This window comes from Homo sapiens, chromosome 16 (genome assembly GCF_000001405.40).
Source record: "Homo sapiens chromosome 16, GRCh38.p14 Primary Assembly".
NCBI classification, from domain to species: domain Eukaryota; kingdom Metazoa; phylum Chordata; class Mammalia; order Primates; family Hominidae; genus Homo; species Homo sapiens.
This window is the reverse complement of record NC_000016.10, coordinates 11322453-11339686: the sequence shown is the minus strand read 5'-3', so window position 1 is coordinate 11339686 and position 17234 is coordinate 11322453. Positions and strand designations below refer to the sequence as shown.

Below are 17234 nucleotides of genomic sequence, written 5' to 3'. Positions count from 1 at the left end.
TGTCTCTACTAAAAAATACAAAAAATTAGCCAGGCGTGGTGACGAGCACCTGTAGTCCCAGCTACTCTGGAGGCTGAGGCAGGAGAATGGCGTGAACCCGGAAGGCGGAGCTTGCAGTGAGCTGAGACGGCGCCACTGCACTCCAGCCTGGGCGACAGAGTGAGACTCCATCTCAAAAAAAAAAAAAAAGATAAGAAATAAGGTGGATGGATGGGTGGATAGAGGGAAGGACAGGTGGCTAGAGCTGAGATAAGGCAACTAGAGTCAACTGTTCATTGTGGAATCCGCATGGTGGGTGATTGATGTTCACTGCACAGTTCTTTCAAGAACACAACATCTGGGGACAACTGTAGGTTCCAGGGCTGCAGCACAGCCTTCCTGCATTGGAATGTCTGGGGGTGGGACCCTAGAATGATTCTGGGGCCCAGCCCTCCCCTACTCAGTGACAAGCAAACTTCTGCTCTCTCACTCACAGAGTATCACCAGGTCATGTGAAAGTCGATGCATCTTGGCCTCTGGTGCCCCTTTTTCTCCACTTCACGCAGGCCCAGGGCTGGGCTCAAGGGAGCATGGGTAGAATAGGGTAAAGTCACACCTCAGTGCCTGATGACTGACACTCTCTAGCCCTCTGCACCAGTAGTGATTTCTGCTGTCCACGGCACACTGCCATGGCGTGAACAGAATGTTTGTGCCCTCTCCTCCCAAATTCATATGTTCCACTGTATGTGGTTAACTATAATTTATTGTATAGTCTCAAAAAACTAGAATACTCTGGATGTGGTGGTTTACGCCTGTAATCCCAGCACTTTGGGAGGCCGAGGTGGGCAGGTTGCTTGACCTCAGGAGTTTGAGACCAGCCTGGCCAACGTGGTGAAACCCCATCTCTACTAAAAATACAAAAATTAGCTGGGCGTGGTTGTGGGTGCCTGTAATCCCAGCTACTCAGGAGGCTGGGGCAGGGGAATCACTTGAATTTGGGAGGCGGAGACTGCAGCAAGCCAAGAATGTGCCACTGCACTCCAGCCTGGGCGACGAGAGGAAGACTCTGTCTCAAAAAAAAAAGGGAAAAAATGTAAAAAGAAAATTTAAAAAAGGAAAGAAAAAGAAACTTAATTCCCAACGTGAAAGTGTTAGGAGGTAGGTCTTTTGGGAGGTGGTTAGGTCTCATGAATAAGGATGGAGCCCTCATGAATGGGATTAGTGTCCTTTTAAGAAGGGTCCCCAGAGAGCTCTTTTGCCCCTTCCACCTTGTGAAGACACAGTAAGCTAGAATATGAGTCCTCACCAGACACTGAATCTCCCAGTGCCTTGATCTTGGACTTCCCACCTCCAGAACTATGAGCAGCCTGGGCACAGTGGCTCACACCTGTAATCCCAGCACTTTGGGAGGCTGAGGTGGGAGCATCACATGAGCCCAGGAGGTGGAGGCTGCAGTGAGCCGTGACTGCACCACTGCACTCCAGCCTAGGCAACAGAGCAAGACCCCATCTGAAAAAGAAATTATGAGCAATACATTTCTGTTGTAGGTTTCCTAGTCTATGGTATTTTGTTTTAAAGCCTAAACTGACTGATACACATTTCCAGCTCTCTTGAGGAGTCTTTAAGCACAATCTACATCTTGGATATGATAATAACAGTAATGCTTCCACTACAACTACAGGCCAAGCATGCTGCTAGCTGCTATGATGTATTCCAGCTCATTTCATCCACAAACCCCTACCAGAGACCTACTTCTGCCCTCCCTCCCGTTATGGGAGAAAAAAAACTGAGGCTCAAAAAGGCACTAAGCCTACAATAATGAAATCTGTGTGGTACTGACATGAGAACAGACATATATAGATCCAGAGGACAGAATGAGTGTCCAAAAATAAACCCATACATCTATTCCTTTTCTTTTTTTCCAAGACAAAGTCTTGTTCTGTCACCCAGGCTGGAGTGCAGTGGCGTGACCTCGGCTCACTGCAACCTCCGCCTCCCAGGTTCAAGTGATTTTCCCGCCTCAGCTTCCTGATTAGCTGGGACTACAGGCACGCACCACCACGCCCAGCTAATCTTTGGTTTTTTGTTTTGTTTTGTTTTGTTTTTTTGAGATGGAGTTTCACTCTTGTTGCCCAGGCTGGAGTGCAATGGCGCGATCTCGGCTCACTGCAAACTCCGCCTCCCAGGTTCAAGCGATTCTCCTGCCTCAGCCTCCCTAGTAGCTGGGATTACAGGCATGTGCCACCACGCCTGGCTAATTTTGTATTTTTGGTAGAGACGGGGTTTCTCCATGTTGGTCAGGCTGGTCTCGAACTCCCGACCTCAGGTGATCCGCCCACCTCGGCCTCCCAAAGTGCTGGGAGTACAGGCGTGAGCCACCACGCCCAGCCATCTTTGTACTTTTAGTAGAGTTGGGGTTTCACTGTGTTGGCTAGGCTGGTCTCGAACTTTGGACCTCAGGTGATCTGCCCACCTTGGCCTCCCAAAGTGCTGGGATTACAGGCATGAGCCATTGCACCCGGCCCCCAGTGGCTTTTCAACAAGGGCCAACAAGGTCATTCCATGGGAAAATAATCATTTAATAAATAATGCTAGAACAATAAGAAAAAGAAGAAAGTTCAACCTCTCTGTCTATGTATAGAATGGACCAAAGGCCGAAATATAAGAGCTAAAACTGTAAAACTCGTAAAAGAAAACAGAAGGGTAAATGTTCACAACCTTGGGTTTGGTGATGGATCTTTAGAGATGACAGCAAAAGCACAAGCAATAAAAGAAAAAAATAAATTGGACTTTATAAAAAGTAAAAACTTTTGTGCATCAAAGGACATTATCCAAAAAGTGAAGACAATTCACAGAATGGGAAAAAATATTTGCTAGTCATATATCTGATGAGGGTCTAGTATCTAGAATATATAAAGAACACTTGCAACTCAACAACAACAAAAAAACCCAATTTAAAAATGAGCAGCCCTCTCCCTCTCCCTCTCCCTCTGCCCCTCCCCTCTTCCCTCTTTCCACGGTCTCCCTCTGATGCCGAGCCGAAGCTGGACTGTACTGCTGCCATCTCTGCTCACTGCAACCTCCCTGCCTGATTCTCCTGCCTCAGCCTGCTGAGTGCCTGCGATTGCAGCCTCACGCCGCCACGCCTGACTGGTTTTCGTATTTTTTGGGTGGAGACGGGTTTTCGCCGTGTTGGCCGGGCTGGTCTCCAGCTCCTAACCGCGAGTGATCCGCCAGCCTCGGCCTCCCGAGGTGCCGGGATTGCAGACGGAGTCTCCTCCACTCAGTGCTCAATGGTGCCCAGGCTGGAGTGCAGTGGCGTGATCTCGGCTCGCTACAACATCCACCTCCCAGCAGCCTGCCTTGGCCTCCCAAAGTGCCGAGATTGCAGCCTCTGCCCGGCCGCCACCCCGTCTGGGAAGTGAGGAGCGTCTCTGCCTGGCCGCCCATCGTCTGGGATGTGAGGAGCCCCTCTGCCTGGCTGCCCAGTCTGGAAAGTGAGGAGCGTCTCTGCCCAGCCGCCATCCTATCTAGGAAGAGAGGAGCCCCTCTTCCCGGCCGCCATCCCATCTAGGAAGTGAGGAGCGTCTCTGCCCGGCCGCCCATCGTCTGAGATGCAGGGAGCACCTCTGCCCTGTCGCCCCATCCGGGATGTGAGGAGTGTCTCTGCCCGGCCGCCCCTACTGGGAAGTGAGGAGCCCCTCTGCCTGGCCGGCCGCCCCGACCGGGAGGGAGGTGGGGGGGTCAGCCCCCCGCCCGGCCAGCCGCCCCGTCCGGGAGGGAGGTGGGGGGGTCAGCCCCCCGCCCGGCCAGCCGCCCCGTCCGGGAGGGAGGTGGGGGGGTCAGCCCCCCGCCCGGCCAGCCGCCCCGTCCGGGAGGGAGGTGGGGGGGTCAGCCCCCCGCCCGGCCAGCCGCCCCGTCCGGGAGGGAGGTGTGGGGGGTCAGCCCCCCCGCCCGGCCAGCCGCCCCGTCCGGGAGGGAGGTGGGGGGTCAGCCCCCCGCCCGGCCAGCTGCCCCGTCCGGGAGGTGAGGGGCGCCTCTGCCCGGCCGCCCCTACTGGGAAGTGAGGAGCCCCTCTGCCCGGCCACCACCCCGTCTGGGAGGTGTACCCAACAGCTCATTGAGAACGGGCCATGATGACAATGGCAGTTTTGTGGAATAGAAAGGGGGGAAAGGTGGGGAAAAGATTGAGAAATCGGATGGTTGCCGTGTCTGTGTAGAAAGAGGTAGACATGGGAGACTTTTCATTTTGTTCTGTACTAAGAAAAATTCTTCTGCCTTGGAAAAAAAATAAAAAAATAAAAAATAAAAAATAAAAAAATAAAAATAAAAATAAGCAAAGGACCTAAACAGACATTTCTCCAAAGAAGGTATATGGTATGGTTCGGATGTTTTTTTTCCTCCAAATCTCATGTTGAAATGTGACATCATTCCAGTGTTGGAGGTTGGGCCTAGTGGGAGGTGTCTGGGTTATGGGGGCGGATCTCTCATGAACAGCTTGGTGCTGTCCTTGCAGCAATGAGGTCTCACTCTATGAGTTCATCTGAGGTCTAGTTGTTTAAAAGAACCCAGCACCTCCTCCCTTCTCTCTCACCACATGACATGCCTGCTCCCGCTCTGCCTTCTACCAAGAGTAAAAGCTTCCTGAGGCCTCACCAGAATCCGAACAGATACTGGTGCCATGCTTGTACAGCCTGCAGAACTGTGAGCCAAATAAACCTCTTTTCTTTTTTTTTTTATTTTTCGAGACAGGGTCTCACTCTGTCACCCATGCTAGAGTGCAATGGTGTGATCATAGCTCACTGCAGCCTCAGTCTCCCAGACTCAAGTGATCCTCCCACCTTAGCTGCCCAAGTAGCTGGGACTACAGGTGCACGCCACCTCATTTTTGGTAGCTAACTTTTTGTTTTTATTTATAATAGAGACAAGGTCTCGCTGTGTTGCCCAGGCTGGTCTCGAATTCCTAAGCTCAAGTAATCTTCCCACCTTAGCCTCCCGAAGTGCTGGGATTACAGGCATGAGCCACCGCGCCCAGCCCTCTTTTCTTTTCTTTCTTTCTGAGAGGGAGTCTCGCTCTGTCACCCAGGCTGTAGTGCACTGTCTTGACTGCCTCAGCCTCCGGAGTTGCTGGGACTACAGGCACGCACCACCATACCCAGCTAATTTTTGTATTTTTAGTAGAGACGAGGTTTTACCATGTTGGCCAGGTTGGTCTTGAACTCCTGACCTCAAGTGATCTACCCACCTTGGCCTCCCAAAGTGCTGGGGTTATACGTGTGAGCCACTGCGCCCGAACCTCTTTTCTTTATGAGTTACTTAGCCTCAGGTATTCCTTTATAGCAACAAAAGTGGACTAACACCATATACAAAAGCCAGTGAACACATGAAAAGATGCTCAATATCATTAGTCACTAGGGAAATGCAAAAAAGCACTAAGCTGAATTCGAACCTGGGTCTGCCTGACTCCACAGACCTGGGCTCCTGGGTCTGCTCCCTTCCTGTCCCCACACCTGTCCACACCTTCTAAGGGCCACTCTAGGGAGCTGAAGCAGCCAGGCCTCCCAGGAGTGTCATGGCCATGGTGGGGCTGGAGATGATGAGATTCAGTCTTGGTGAAATCTAAAAACTCGATGGCCAGTATCCCTACACAAACAGTCCTGGTCTGTCTGGGGTTGCTGCTGGATCCCAAAACAATGCCTGGGGCATAGCTGTTCAGTACATATTTACTGAATGAATGGACGAATGACAGGGTTATGGCTTGAGAAGAGTAACAAGTCAGGTTCCCAGGGAAGCCCACGGACGAGTGAGCAGGTTTATTGGGGAGTGCTCTTGGAGGCAGCACCTGCGTGGGAGTGAGGTCAGCAGGACCAGGCAGAGGAGTTGAGCTGCGATGCAGATGCAGTCGCAACAAAGGCCTCAGTCATCCCTGGGGAAAGTTCTGGAGCTCAAGTAGCACAGCAGAGCTGTCCTGCCTGGGGAAAAGGGGGCCGGGCTTTTGTACTCCATATTCACCAGTCTTTGGAGGTGTGCTGACCCGTGGGGTAGGGGGTCTAGGGGGCCATGCCCAGAGAGGGACTCAGCTGGGCACAAACCATCAGCCACCAGCTCTCCCAGCAGCTGGGGAGTGACTGCCTCTGTGTAGAAGGGGGACCCGGGCACACACCAGTGTCCACTACAGCAGGCATTTGGTCCTCTCTCTCCTTGGGCTCAGTTTAACTCAGCTGCATGTAGTTACCACCAACATCCATTCATTCATTCAACAAACATGTGGTAAGCACCTACTATATGCCAGATGCCATGCCAGCCCGTGGCTATGGAAACGTACACGGCAGATGCAGCCCCTGCCAAAGGAAGCAATAGTCAAGTGGGGCGACAGACACAGAAACAGACACCACAAGATCACATCACTGCTTTCATCTCCTACTCACTGCTTTGCTGTTCGTAGACATGCCAGGTAAGCTGCCTCAGGACCTTTGCTCATACCGCATCTTTGATATCCATTGTATAACTGATACTGACAGCTCGTCTCAACTCATATTAAGCCACCATTCAAGTGCTCAGTCACCCCATGTGGCTTGTGGCTTCTGTATTACAGCAGCTCTGAGTCGGGGAAGGCAGGGGCTTTTTTCTGTTGGCTACAGGTCCCTGGACATGAATTATCCACATTTTCCTCGACTTTTCAATAAACCAAGAAGGAGACCTGCTCCGTCACTGGCAGGACTGTGCACTCCCTGTGGAAACATCTGTTTGCAGCCCCCCACCATGTCCTTGTCATTAATTTCATTAAAAATTATCTTAAGATAGAGTCTTGCTCTGTGGCCCAAGCTGGAGTGCAGTGGCATGATCATAGCTCACTGCAGCCTCGACTTCCTGGGCCCAGGTAGTCCTCCTGCCTCAGCCTACTGAGTAGCAGGGACCACAGCTGCATGCCACCACACCTGGCTAATTTTTAAATTATTTGTAAACATGGGGTCATCACTAGCTGCCCAGACTCGTCTCAAACTCTGGGGCTCAAGCGATCCTCCTTCCCTACTCTCCCAAAGTGCTGAGATTACAGGTTTGAGCCACTGCGCCTGGCGAAAGTTAGCTTTAATTCAGCACTTACTGTGTGCCTGACACTGTTTTAAGTCTTTGCATAAATTATCTTTTTTTTTGGGGGGGGGCGGACAGAGTATCGCTCTTGTCGCCCAGGCTGGAGTGCAATGGCGCAATCTTGGCTCACTGCAACCTCCTTGTTCCGGGTTCAAGCAATTCTCCTGCCTCAGCCTCCCAAGTAGCTGGGATTACAGGCATCTGCCACCACGCCCAGCTAATTTTTTTGTATTTTTAGTAGAGACAGGGTTTCACCATGTTGGCCAGGCTGATCTGGAACTCTCGGCCTCCCAAAGAGCTGGGATTATAGGTGTGAACCACCATGCCTGGACACGTAACCTCATTTAAGCCTCCTGATCACTCTGTACAGCAGATACAATGATTGTACCCATTTTACAGATGAAGAAACTGAGGTTCAGAGAAGTCAAAGAATGTGCTCAAAATCACACAGCTTGTGCAGGGAAGAACCTGATATGAAACCCTGGCAGGCTGGCTCCAGAGCCTGTGTTCCTAATGTGTTAGGAATGTGTTCTCACTCATTCACACTCAGTCATTCAACAAACACTGGCTACTGGATCAAGGTGGAGGTACATGGGGCTGGCAAGTCAGGAGCTCTGGAGCCAACTGTTTCTCTGCCACTGCCTGGTTGAGTGGCCTTGGGCAAGACACTGTCCCTCTCTGAGCCTCACTTTCCCCTTCTGTGGAATAAAGGGACTGGACCATCCTAACTCATGTTTTTTCTACAGAGAGGACCTCTGTCTACAGCCAGACTTGATAATGAATTCCCCAGGAGTCCAACCTCTGGCCCTAAAAAGGGGGTTCAAGGAAATCCTCATACCCCACCTCTTTCAACAGCACTGGCCAATGGCCCCCATGCTGCAGGTAAAAACATGGCCAAAGATATGGATGAAACAAAATCCAATCCAGCCAGGCACGGTGGCTCACGCCTGTAATCCCAGCACTTTGGGAGGCCGAGACGGGCGGATCACGAAGTCAGGAGATCGAGACCATCCTGGCTAACACGGTGAAACCCCGTCCCTACTAAAAATACAAAAAAAATAGCCGGGCATGGTGGTGGGCGCCTGGAGTCCCAGCTACTCGGGAGGCTGAGGCAGGAGAATAGTGTGAACCTGGGAGGCGGAGTTTGCAGTGAGCCGAGATTGCGCCACTGTACTCCAGCCTGGGCGACAGAGCGAGACTCCGTCTCAAAAAAAAAAAAAAAAAGAAAAAGAAAAAAAAATTCCAACCCAAAAACAAAAGGCAACATTTATTGAGCACTTACTCTGTGCCTTATGTGTCTCATTCATCCTCACAATAACCCAATGGAGTTGGCACTGTTCTTATACCCATTTTACAGAAGTGGGAGATTGAGGTCTACAGAGATTTAACTTACCCAGGTCAAACAGAGCAGAATCACATCCGCTCACCATACAACCCAGCGTTTCCACTTCTGGGTGTCTAACCTAGAGAAATAAAAACTTAGATTCAAGGCTGAGTGTGGCATCTCACGCCTGTAGTCCTAGAACTTTGGGAGGTCGAGGTGGGAGGATCACTTAACCCCTGAGGTCAAGGGGGCAGTGAGCTATGATCACACTACTGCACTCCAGCCTGGGCAACACAGCAAGACCCTATGTCAAAAAGAAAAGAAAACTTACATTCACACAAAAACCTATACATAGATGTTGAGGGCAGTCTATTCATCATCACCCCAAACTGGAGACAACCCAATTTAACAGAGGAATTTAACAAGCTGTGGTACATCCACACCATAAACTACTACTCAGCAGTGAAAAGGTGTGGACTACCGATACAACCAGCAACTTGGATGAATCTCAAATACTTGGTGTTGGGCAAAAGAAGCCAGACCCAAAAGTACACATCTACAGGATTCCATTCATCTGACATTTGGGCATAGCTACAACTCTAGGGACAGAAAACAGACCAGTGATTGTCAGGGGCTGGGAGCAGGGGAGGGGATGATGACAAAAGGGTAGCAAGTGGGAATTTTTTGGAGGGATGAAATTATTTTGTGTACTGGTTGTGGTGGTGGTTAGATGACTCTCAGCTGTGTCAAAATTTAGAGAATGGGGGGCTGGGCGCAGTGGCTCACACCTGTAACCCCAGCACTTTGGGAGGCTGAGGTGGGTGGATCACTTGAGGTCAAGAGTTCGAGATTAGCCTGGCCAACATGGCAAAACCCTGTCTCTTCCAAAAAATACAAAACTTAGCCAGGCATGGTGGTGGACACATGTAGTCCCAGCTACTTAGGAGGCTAAGGTGGGAGAATCGCTTGAACCTGGGAGGCGGAGGTAGCAATGAGCTGAGATCATGCCACTACACTCCAGCCCGGTCAACAGAGTGAGTCTCTGCATTAAAAAAAAAAAAAAAAAAAAATATATATATATATATATATATACACACACACATATATATAGAATGGCACATACATACCCAGAACAGAATCCCAGCCCCGTGCAAATGACAACTTGTCACAGGTGGTGGCCCAGCTGGAAAATATTTGTTTCTTCTTCAGGGACTTCAGTCAAGAAAGCCCAGTAGTACCTAAGTTAACTACCAAGGAGAAGAGGGAGTAGAGAATGACTGCTTAATGGATACAGAGTTTCCTTTGGGAATGATGAAAATGTTTTCCAACTAAAGAGAGGTGGTAGTTGCACAACGCTGTAAATGTACTAAGCACCACTGAATTGTTCATTTCAAATTAGTTAATTTTATGTTACGTGAATTTCACTTCCATTTATTAAAAATAGGTTCCAGGCCAGGCTCACGCCTATAATCCCAACATTTTGGGAGGCCAAAGCGGGAGGATCGCTTGAGCCCAGGAGTTCAAGACCAGGCTGGGTAACAGGGAGACCCCCGTCTCTACAAAAAATTAAAAAATTAGCTGGGCATGGTGTTGTGTGCCTGTAGTCCCAGCTACTTGGGAGGCTGAGGTGGTAGGATCACTTGAGCCTAGGAAGTCGAGGCTGCAGTGAGCTGTGATCATGCCACTGCACTGCAGCTTGGATGACAGAGCAAGACCCTGTCTCTAAAAAAAATAAGTAAATAAAAAAGGTTCGACTCCCCCCTCAAAAATAGTATCCAGGGATAACTGTGCCCTAAATCTACCCCCAAGAAATTCAGGCCCTTTGAGAGGTTAAGTAACTTACTCAATGCCTCACAGCCAGGAAGAGGTTGACCCTGAAATCAGCCTGCCTCCAAAGCTCCAGTTCTTTCTACTGGAGACGGGAGAAAATGGGTTAAATATCACTCATCCCTTTCTCTCCAGGGAATTCCTCAGGAATTCCTTTCCCCTGGAGCAGTGTGACTTTATTTACATAAAAACTCTTCCAGGGACAGAAACAAGAAATGCAGACCAGTACCAGTATATTGTTGTACCTGTAACAGACCCTTTTTCTCAAAATAACCGCAATTCTGTGAAAGTGGAAGTGTTCTAGAAAATCGAGACAGAGCATCACTCCACGTGTTTGCACAGAAAGAAACAAACCTTCTGAGCAGTGCGCTGAATCCAAACGCCTGATTTCACAGGGAAGGAAGGAAAAGCGGGGTACATGAGACGTTGAAATGCACCCCCCAGGGCAGTAGGGGCATTTTTTTGAGTGAGTTTGGGATGGGGTTAGGTGGGAGGCAGGGGGATGGACAAAATGAACACCTGCCAAAGCCCCAAAGCAGTTTCTCCAACCCAGAATGCCCTGACCACCAGTGAGGGGTAGTTTCCCAACTGTCCTGGTATGAGGTTTTCTGGGGGGCCTGACCTTCATTCGAAGTTCAATGAAGCACACAGCGCCCCTGCATCAGAGATTGCTTCTGAGGGACTCAAACCTCAGCCTTGCAAAACAGCGACACTTGAGTGAACCCAGCTGGAGACAAAGGAAGTGTGAGTCAGCCCAAGAATTTCTTTTAAAAGGCCGAGTGAAGGAGGCCACAGCTGCTGAACTGGAAGACAGAATTTGCATGAGCCTGGGGCTAGGCTCTGGGCACCAACCTCCGGATGTCCTCAGGGATCTGTGAGCAGAGAGGCCTGGCTGCAAAGGGTCTGGAGGACGGCCCTTCTGCTAAGGTGTCCGCTCCCAAGGCAGAGGGCTTGGGGGAGCTGGAGGAGGCTGGGTTCCAGGAGGGGTGGCCAGGTAAGTCCTTGGGCCAGTAGGGAAGAAGTCCAACTGTGTACAAACGTTACCTCTGAGCCACACCACTACCCTGCCAGGAGGTTTGATGTGGTCCCATTTTACAGAGGGGAAGACTGAGTCTGATTTCTTCACTCAACAAGTGCTCACTGAATGCCTGGGATGCAGCGGTGAACAAAACCAACAAAAGACCCTGCTTTTATGGAGTTTATAATCTGGTGAAGGATGGGGAGAGAGCAAGAGACAATTTCGGGTGCTAAGCACATGCAGATGAAGAAAATAAACCAGGAGGGGTGGGGAGAGGGGCTTATCTGCACAGGCTCCCTCAGCTGAGACCTGAATGACAGAAGGGGCTGGTGGGCTGGGGAAGGGCCACTCCCACCAGAGGGAATGGCGAATGCTAAGGCCCTGCAGCGGGAGCGACCCTGTGTGTATGAGGAACAGAAAGGCCAGTATGGGTGCGCAGTGATGGGGGAGCAGTCAGTGATGCAGTCAAGAGGTCGGTGAGGCAAGATCAGGTAGAGACTCACAGGCCACTTAAAGGAATTTGGATTTTGCTTTAAATGTACCAGGAATGCGCATTTTTGAGGGGAGGGGTGGGGAGAGACAGAGAGAGGAGGCTGGGCACAGTGGCTCACATCTGTAATCTCAGCACTTTAGGATGCCAAAGTGGGAGGATCACTTGAGGTCAGGAAACCAGCCTGGCCAACATGTCAAAACCCCGTCTCTACCAAAAATACAAAAATTAGCCGGGCGTGGTAGTGGGTGGCCTATAAACCCATCTACTTGAGAGGCTGGGGCAGGAGAATCACTTGAGCCCGGGAGGTGGTTGCACTCCAGCCTGCGCAACAGAGGGAGATTCCATCTCAAAAAAAAAAAAAGAGAGAGAGAAAGAGAAAGAGAGAGACATGACCTGATTTTCGTTTTCAGTAGACGCCCCTGGCCGCCGCGTGGAGACTGGGCTGTGGGGGCAGAGGAGTGGAGAGACTAGCCAGGAGGCTGCAGCTGCGGTTTCACTCTACTCCCCACGGCCCGATGAGGGGAGACAAAGACAGAACTCAAGGATGGACTTGGTTTGGGACTTGAGCGACTGGGTCCATGCAGGTGTCCTTGCCTGAGGCAAGGATGGTTTGAGCCAGGGCACCCAGCCGGAGCTGGCTAGACTCCCTTTCTCCCGTGCCGCCCACCCCACAGAAGGCCCGGAGCGTTCATGCTGGCATTCAGGGACCTCCACACCCCTCCCTCCTCTTGCCTCTCCATTTTGACCTCACGCTGCTCCCCATGGCCACAGAGCTCTTGTCTCTCTCTCCTGACATGCCATGCTCAGTCCCAGCTCCAGACCTTTGCTCACGCTGCTCCTGCCTGAGGGCCCTTCCTCCTCCCTTGGCCTGAGTGGAGGCCTGAGAAGGGCTTTATAGAGCAGTGGCTCTCAAGCTAGCACCTGCCTGGATTTGAATTCCAGCACGACCACCTCCTAGCATGTGATCCTAAGCACGTTCCTTAACAGGACTCAATTTCTTCATCTGCCAAGTAAGAGTGAAAATATAAGTGCTGACCATGTGGGGTAGTTGCAGGATTAAAGAAGAAGCACTCATTCGTTTCACTCTGGGAACAAGAGAAATGTCAACCTGGTTAGCCAGTGTTACTTCCTAGTGGCACAGAAATGGCATGAGGGACTGGGCACGGGGGCCCACGCCTGTAATCCCAGCACTTTGGGAGGCTGAGGTGGGAGGATTACTTGAGCTCAGGAATTCGAGACCAGCCTGGGCAACACAGGGAAACCCTGTTTCTAGAAAAAATTAAAAAATTAGCCAGGTGTGGTGGTGCACACCTGTGGTCCCAGCTACTCTGGAGGCTGAGGTGGGAGGATCACTTGAGCCTGAGAGGTTGAAGCTGCAGTAAGTGGTGATTGCACCACTGCACTCCACCTGGGCAACACAGCAAGACCCTGTCTCAAAAAATAAAATATAAAATAAAAAATTTTTTAAAGCCTGGAGAAGCAACCGCTCTTTACTATCGCATATGGCTATATGGAAAGGGAAAAGGCTCTGGCCCACCGGGAGGGCTGTCTCCTTCATGGCCAAGTCTCCAGAGCCTCCCAGTGTCTACCCACTGGACAGAGGAACGGCCACAAGCACGCAATCATCCCTGCCCCCTGCAAGGACTTCCTACTCAGCTTTTACAGGAAGGGACTCGAAGCCAAGAGTGACACAGTGGATACACCATGGGTGGTTCCTTCCCAAGTCTTTCTGGCCAGCAGGGCCCTGGTGACATCTGAGATACTGGGTAGAGACTCATGTTTCGCTTGAAATGCAACAGGGACTCTTTGGAGGGTTTTCAGAGAGACAGAGGAGAGGCGTGATCTGATTTTCACCTTCAGTAGAATGAAAGTGAACCCACATTTCCCAGGGCAGCTCTACCCTGGCCAGTCCCAGTAATGTGACTTCCCTCAGACTCCCATGGGTGGCTTCATGCCGCAGATGCCAGGGATGGTGGGGCCTGCGGCCAGCTGGGGGCCGGGTGTCCTGCCTTCACCTACATCCCCTCTACACCCTGCAACCAGAGGCTTGAAAAGGGGAAGCCATAAGTCAGATCAAGCCTAGGCTGTGGTGCCCACTGCCACTGCTGTGGGATGTCTGCTGGAAGATGAGACCATGAGGTTTACAGGAATTGGAGCCTCTGACTAGCACTGAATGTGAAAGCAAAACTCACACGCATGCACACTCAGGCTATTGCAGACACAAGCAGACACATGGCGGCACATTCACTCCCATACACATAAGCATATATACACGCACATACACACACATGCATGTGTGTGCATGACTGCATACACAGGTGTGCATACACTCATCCACTCATGCATACACTCTGAGGCGCAGGCACACATACGCATGCACACAGACACAAAGGCTCCCAGACCCCTCTCACGTAGTCTGCCCACTTGCAACCGTAGGCTTGCTCTCCCTGGACCTCAGACCCACTCACATTCCCAGCTCCTGCCAAGAGATACACCCATTTTCCACCAGTGGAAACACACACACTCACACACACCCAAGAGCCCAGGACCATGGCCTCCAAGCAGCCCTGCACACACAAGAGAGCTGCTTGTACATGGGCACTGTCCCACAAGCCTGCCAGACCGCATGGTTGTGCACACATGCACACAAGCGCACACCAATATCCCTTCTCTCTCTTTCTCTCTCTGAGTTCACAGAGGTCAGCCTCAGAAACACAGAGAACACCTTGCTCAGGCCACTTTGACTGCAGCCAGTGGCACTTTCCGGGCCCCTTGCTGCCCCAGCCTTACCCGGCATCAAAGTCTACACTCCTGGATTTCACTGGAGTGTGCCCTCGGCCTGGAACACCCTTCTGCCTGCTCTTCCCCCTGTCCCAACATGCCAAATCGCCAGCTCTCCCCTGCCCATCCAACCAGGAAGCTCCCAGCAGTTACAGGGCACTAAAGTGTGGAGGTCCTGGGCCAGCTTGTGCTCCTCCATAAAAGTCTTAACCTCTCTGGACCTCAGAATCCTCATTACTAAAATGAAGTTCATTATTAGCATCAGACAAACCTTATTTCCTTGAGAAGGGTTTCATGTCCAGCCAAGCACATAGTAGGGGCTCAGGAAAAAAGCTCATTAAAAGAATAACAATGGGCCTGGCATGGTGGCTCACACGTGTAATCCCAGCATTTTGGAAGACCAAGGAGGGAGGACTGCTTGAGCCCGGGAGTTCAAGATCAGCCTGGGCAACATAGTGAGACTCTGTCTCTGTAAATAAAATAAAGTAAAATAAAATAGGCCGGGCACAGTGGCTCACACCTGTAATCCCAGCCCTTTGGGAGGCCAAGGCGGGTGGATCCCTTGAGGTCATGAGTCTGAGACCAGGCTGGCCAACATGGTAAAACTCTATCTCTACCAAAAACACAAAAAATAGCTGGGCATGGTGGTGGGTGCTACTTGGGAGGCTGAGGCGCGAAAATTGCTCAAACCCACAACAGGGGGGTTGCAGTGAGCCGAGATCATGCCATTGCACTCCAGCGTGGGTGACAGAGCGAGACTCTGGCTCAAAAAATAATAATAAAATAAAATAATTTGAAATTTTAAATGCTCAACATACCATGTTTGTAATCCCAGCACTCTGGGAGGCCGAAGTGGGGGTACTGCTTGAGCCCAGGAGTTGAGACCAGCTTTAACAACATAGCAAGACCTCATCTATACAAATAATAATAACAAACTTAGTTGGGTGTGGTGGCATGAGCCTGTGGTTCCAGCTACTTGGGAGGCTGGGTGGGAGAATTGCTTGAGCCTGGGCAGTCAAGGCTGCAGTGAACCATGATTGCGTCACTGCATTCCAGCCTGGGCAACACAGCAAGACCCCATCTCCATAGATTAGATAGATAGATAGATAGATAGATAGATAGATAGATTAGATAGATAGACAGACAGACAGACAGGTAATAAACCAATGACAATGACGTCCACAACAGACTGAGACCCTGCCATGTTTAAAGAACCCTGTGAACCCTCCCAGCAAACCTAGCAGGTGACAGGGCTCCCATCTCCCAGAAGAAACAGGCCCAGAGGGCAACGTCTTCTCCAAGGTCAGTGGGGTCTGCAGCAGAGCTCATGCCTCTTGATCCCAGCCCAGTGCATCAGGCGAGGGAGGCCGCTCCAGGCATAAACCTGGCGGGGCCTGCCCAATGCAGTTCTGGAAGGCCGCCGGCCCACCGCACTCCCCACAGGTACTGAGGGGTCCCTGGCCAGCTGGTGTCAGGGACCAGTGAGCAGGGGACCCAGGAGCTGCATGGTGGGCACAGAAGTGAAGAGACACAGGCCTAGAGAGGGGAGGAGTTTTACCCAGGATGTCAGTTTCCCGAGGCCACAAGCAACAAGTCATGAACTCAGTGGCTTAAAACAATAGAACTTGATTCTCTTACAGTTCTGGAGGCCAGAAGTCTGAAGTCAAGGTTTCAGCAGGGCCCTGCTTCCTCCAGAAGATGGAAGGGAGGCCCCTTCCTTGCTTCTTCCAGCTTCTGGTGGCTCCAGGCATTCCTTGGCTTGGAACTGTGTGATTCCAGCCTCCACCTCCATCTGCACAGGGCCTCCTCGCCTCCGTGTCTGTGTCCAAAATCTCTCTCTGCCTCTCTCTTCCAGGGACACCTCACATGGGATTTGGGGTCCACCCATGTTCTCGTTTCCAGATCCTCAGATCCTAAATTTAATGACATCTGCAAAGACCCATCTTCTAAATAAGGTCACTGTCACAGGTTCTGGGGGGGTTAGAACGTGGATTTATCTCTTTGGGGACACTTTTAACCCACTACACCTGGAAAGCAAGCAGCAGTGCCAGGCACAGCTCTCCCCTCGTCCCAGCCTTGATCTGGGATCTCATTAAGAAGACCAGGGCTGGGCCAACAGAGAGCCGGGAGCCTCCTGGCCTGGCCTGGAATCCTGGCCTTGCCTGTTACTTGCTGTGGGACCTCAGGCAAATAACTCAGCCTCTCTGTGCCTGTCTCTTCACCTGTAAAATGGGGATGACAGTTCTTACCTCATGAGGGAAATTAAATGAGTTGATGTAAAGCATCAGAACAGTGGCTGCCTGGAACCTAGAAAGCTCTCAACAAAAATTTGATAGATCAATACAGAAAATGGTGTCGGGGCTGGGCGTGGTGGCTCACGCCTGTAATCCTAGCATTTAGGGAGGCCAAGGCAAGTGGATCATCTGAGGTCAGGAGTTCAAGACCAGCCTGGCCAACATGGTGAAACCCCATCTCTACTAAAAATACAAAAAATTATCCGGGCATGGTGGCGGGCACCTGGAATCCCAGCTACTCCAGAGGCTGAGGCAGGAGAATTGCTTGAACCTGGGAGGCGGAGGCTGCAGCCAGCCAAGTCACACCATTTACTCCATCCTAGGCAACAAGAATGAAACTCCATCTCAAAAAAAAAAAAAAAAAAAAAACCAAAAAAAAACAAAGGGAAAATCATGTCTGGACACCCCGGACCCTCAGTAAGTGCT

General features: G+C 51.1%; 1 long non-coding RNA gene across 2 annotated transcripts in view, besides 6 other annotated features; it reads right to left on the bottom strand.

The window, feature by feature from the left end:
* The window catches only part of LOC105371082 (uncharacterized), a 146190-nt gene that overhangs the window by 56104 nt on the left and 72852 nt on the right, over positions 1-17234 (bottom strand). The window lies entirely within an intron of this gene.
* Positions 10224-11003: an enhancer, noted in NCBI's record as "OCT4-NANOG-H3K27ac hESC enhancer chr16:11422541-11423320 (GRCh37/hg19 assembly coordinates)". NCBI's record gives its function as "activates a minimal SCP1, AML or CMV promoter by ChIP-STARR-seq in naive H9 embryonic stem cells {active_cell/tissue: H9 hESC(naive)}" and the evidence as "EXISTENCE:reporter gene assay evidence [ECO:0000049][PMID:30033119]".
* Positions 11062-11111: an enhancer, noted in NCBI's record as "active region_10437". NCBI's record gives its function as "activates an Ori minimal core promoter by ATAC-STARR-seq in GM12878 lymphoblastoid cells {active_cell/tissue: GM12878}" and the evidence as "EXISTENCE:reporter gene assay evidence [ECO:0000049][PMID:35858748]".
* Positions 12002-12061: an enhancer, noted in NCBI's record as "active region_10436". NCBI's record gives its function as "activates an Ori minimal core promoter by ATAC-STARR-seq in GM12878 lymphoblastoid cells {active_cell/tissue: GM12878}" and the evidence as "EXISTENCE:reporter gene assay evidence [ECO:0000049][PMID:35858748]".
* Positions 12122-12191: an enhancer, noted in NCBI's record as "active region_10435". NCBI's record gives its function as "activates an Ori minimal core promoter by ATAC-STARR-seq in GM12878 lymphoblastoid cells {active_cell/tissue: GM12878}" and the evidence as "EXISTENCE:reporter gene assay evidence [ECO:0000049][PMID:35858748]".
* Positions 12282-12341: an enhancer, noted in NCBI's record as "active region_10434". NCBI's record gives its function as "activates an Ori minimal core promoter by ATAC-STARR-seq in GM12878 lymphoblastoid cells {active_cell/tissue: GM12878}" and the evidence as "EXISTENCE:reporter gene assay evidence [ECO:0000049][PMID:35858748]".
* Positions 13779-13828: an enhancer, noted in NCBI's record as "active region_10433". NCBI's record gives its function as "activates an Ori minimal core promoter by ATAC-STARR-seq in GM12878 lymphoblastoid cells {active_cell/tissue: GM12878}" and the evidence as "EXISTENCE:reporter gene assay evidence [ECO:0000049][PMID:35858748]".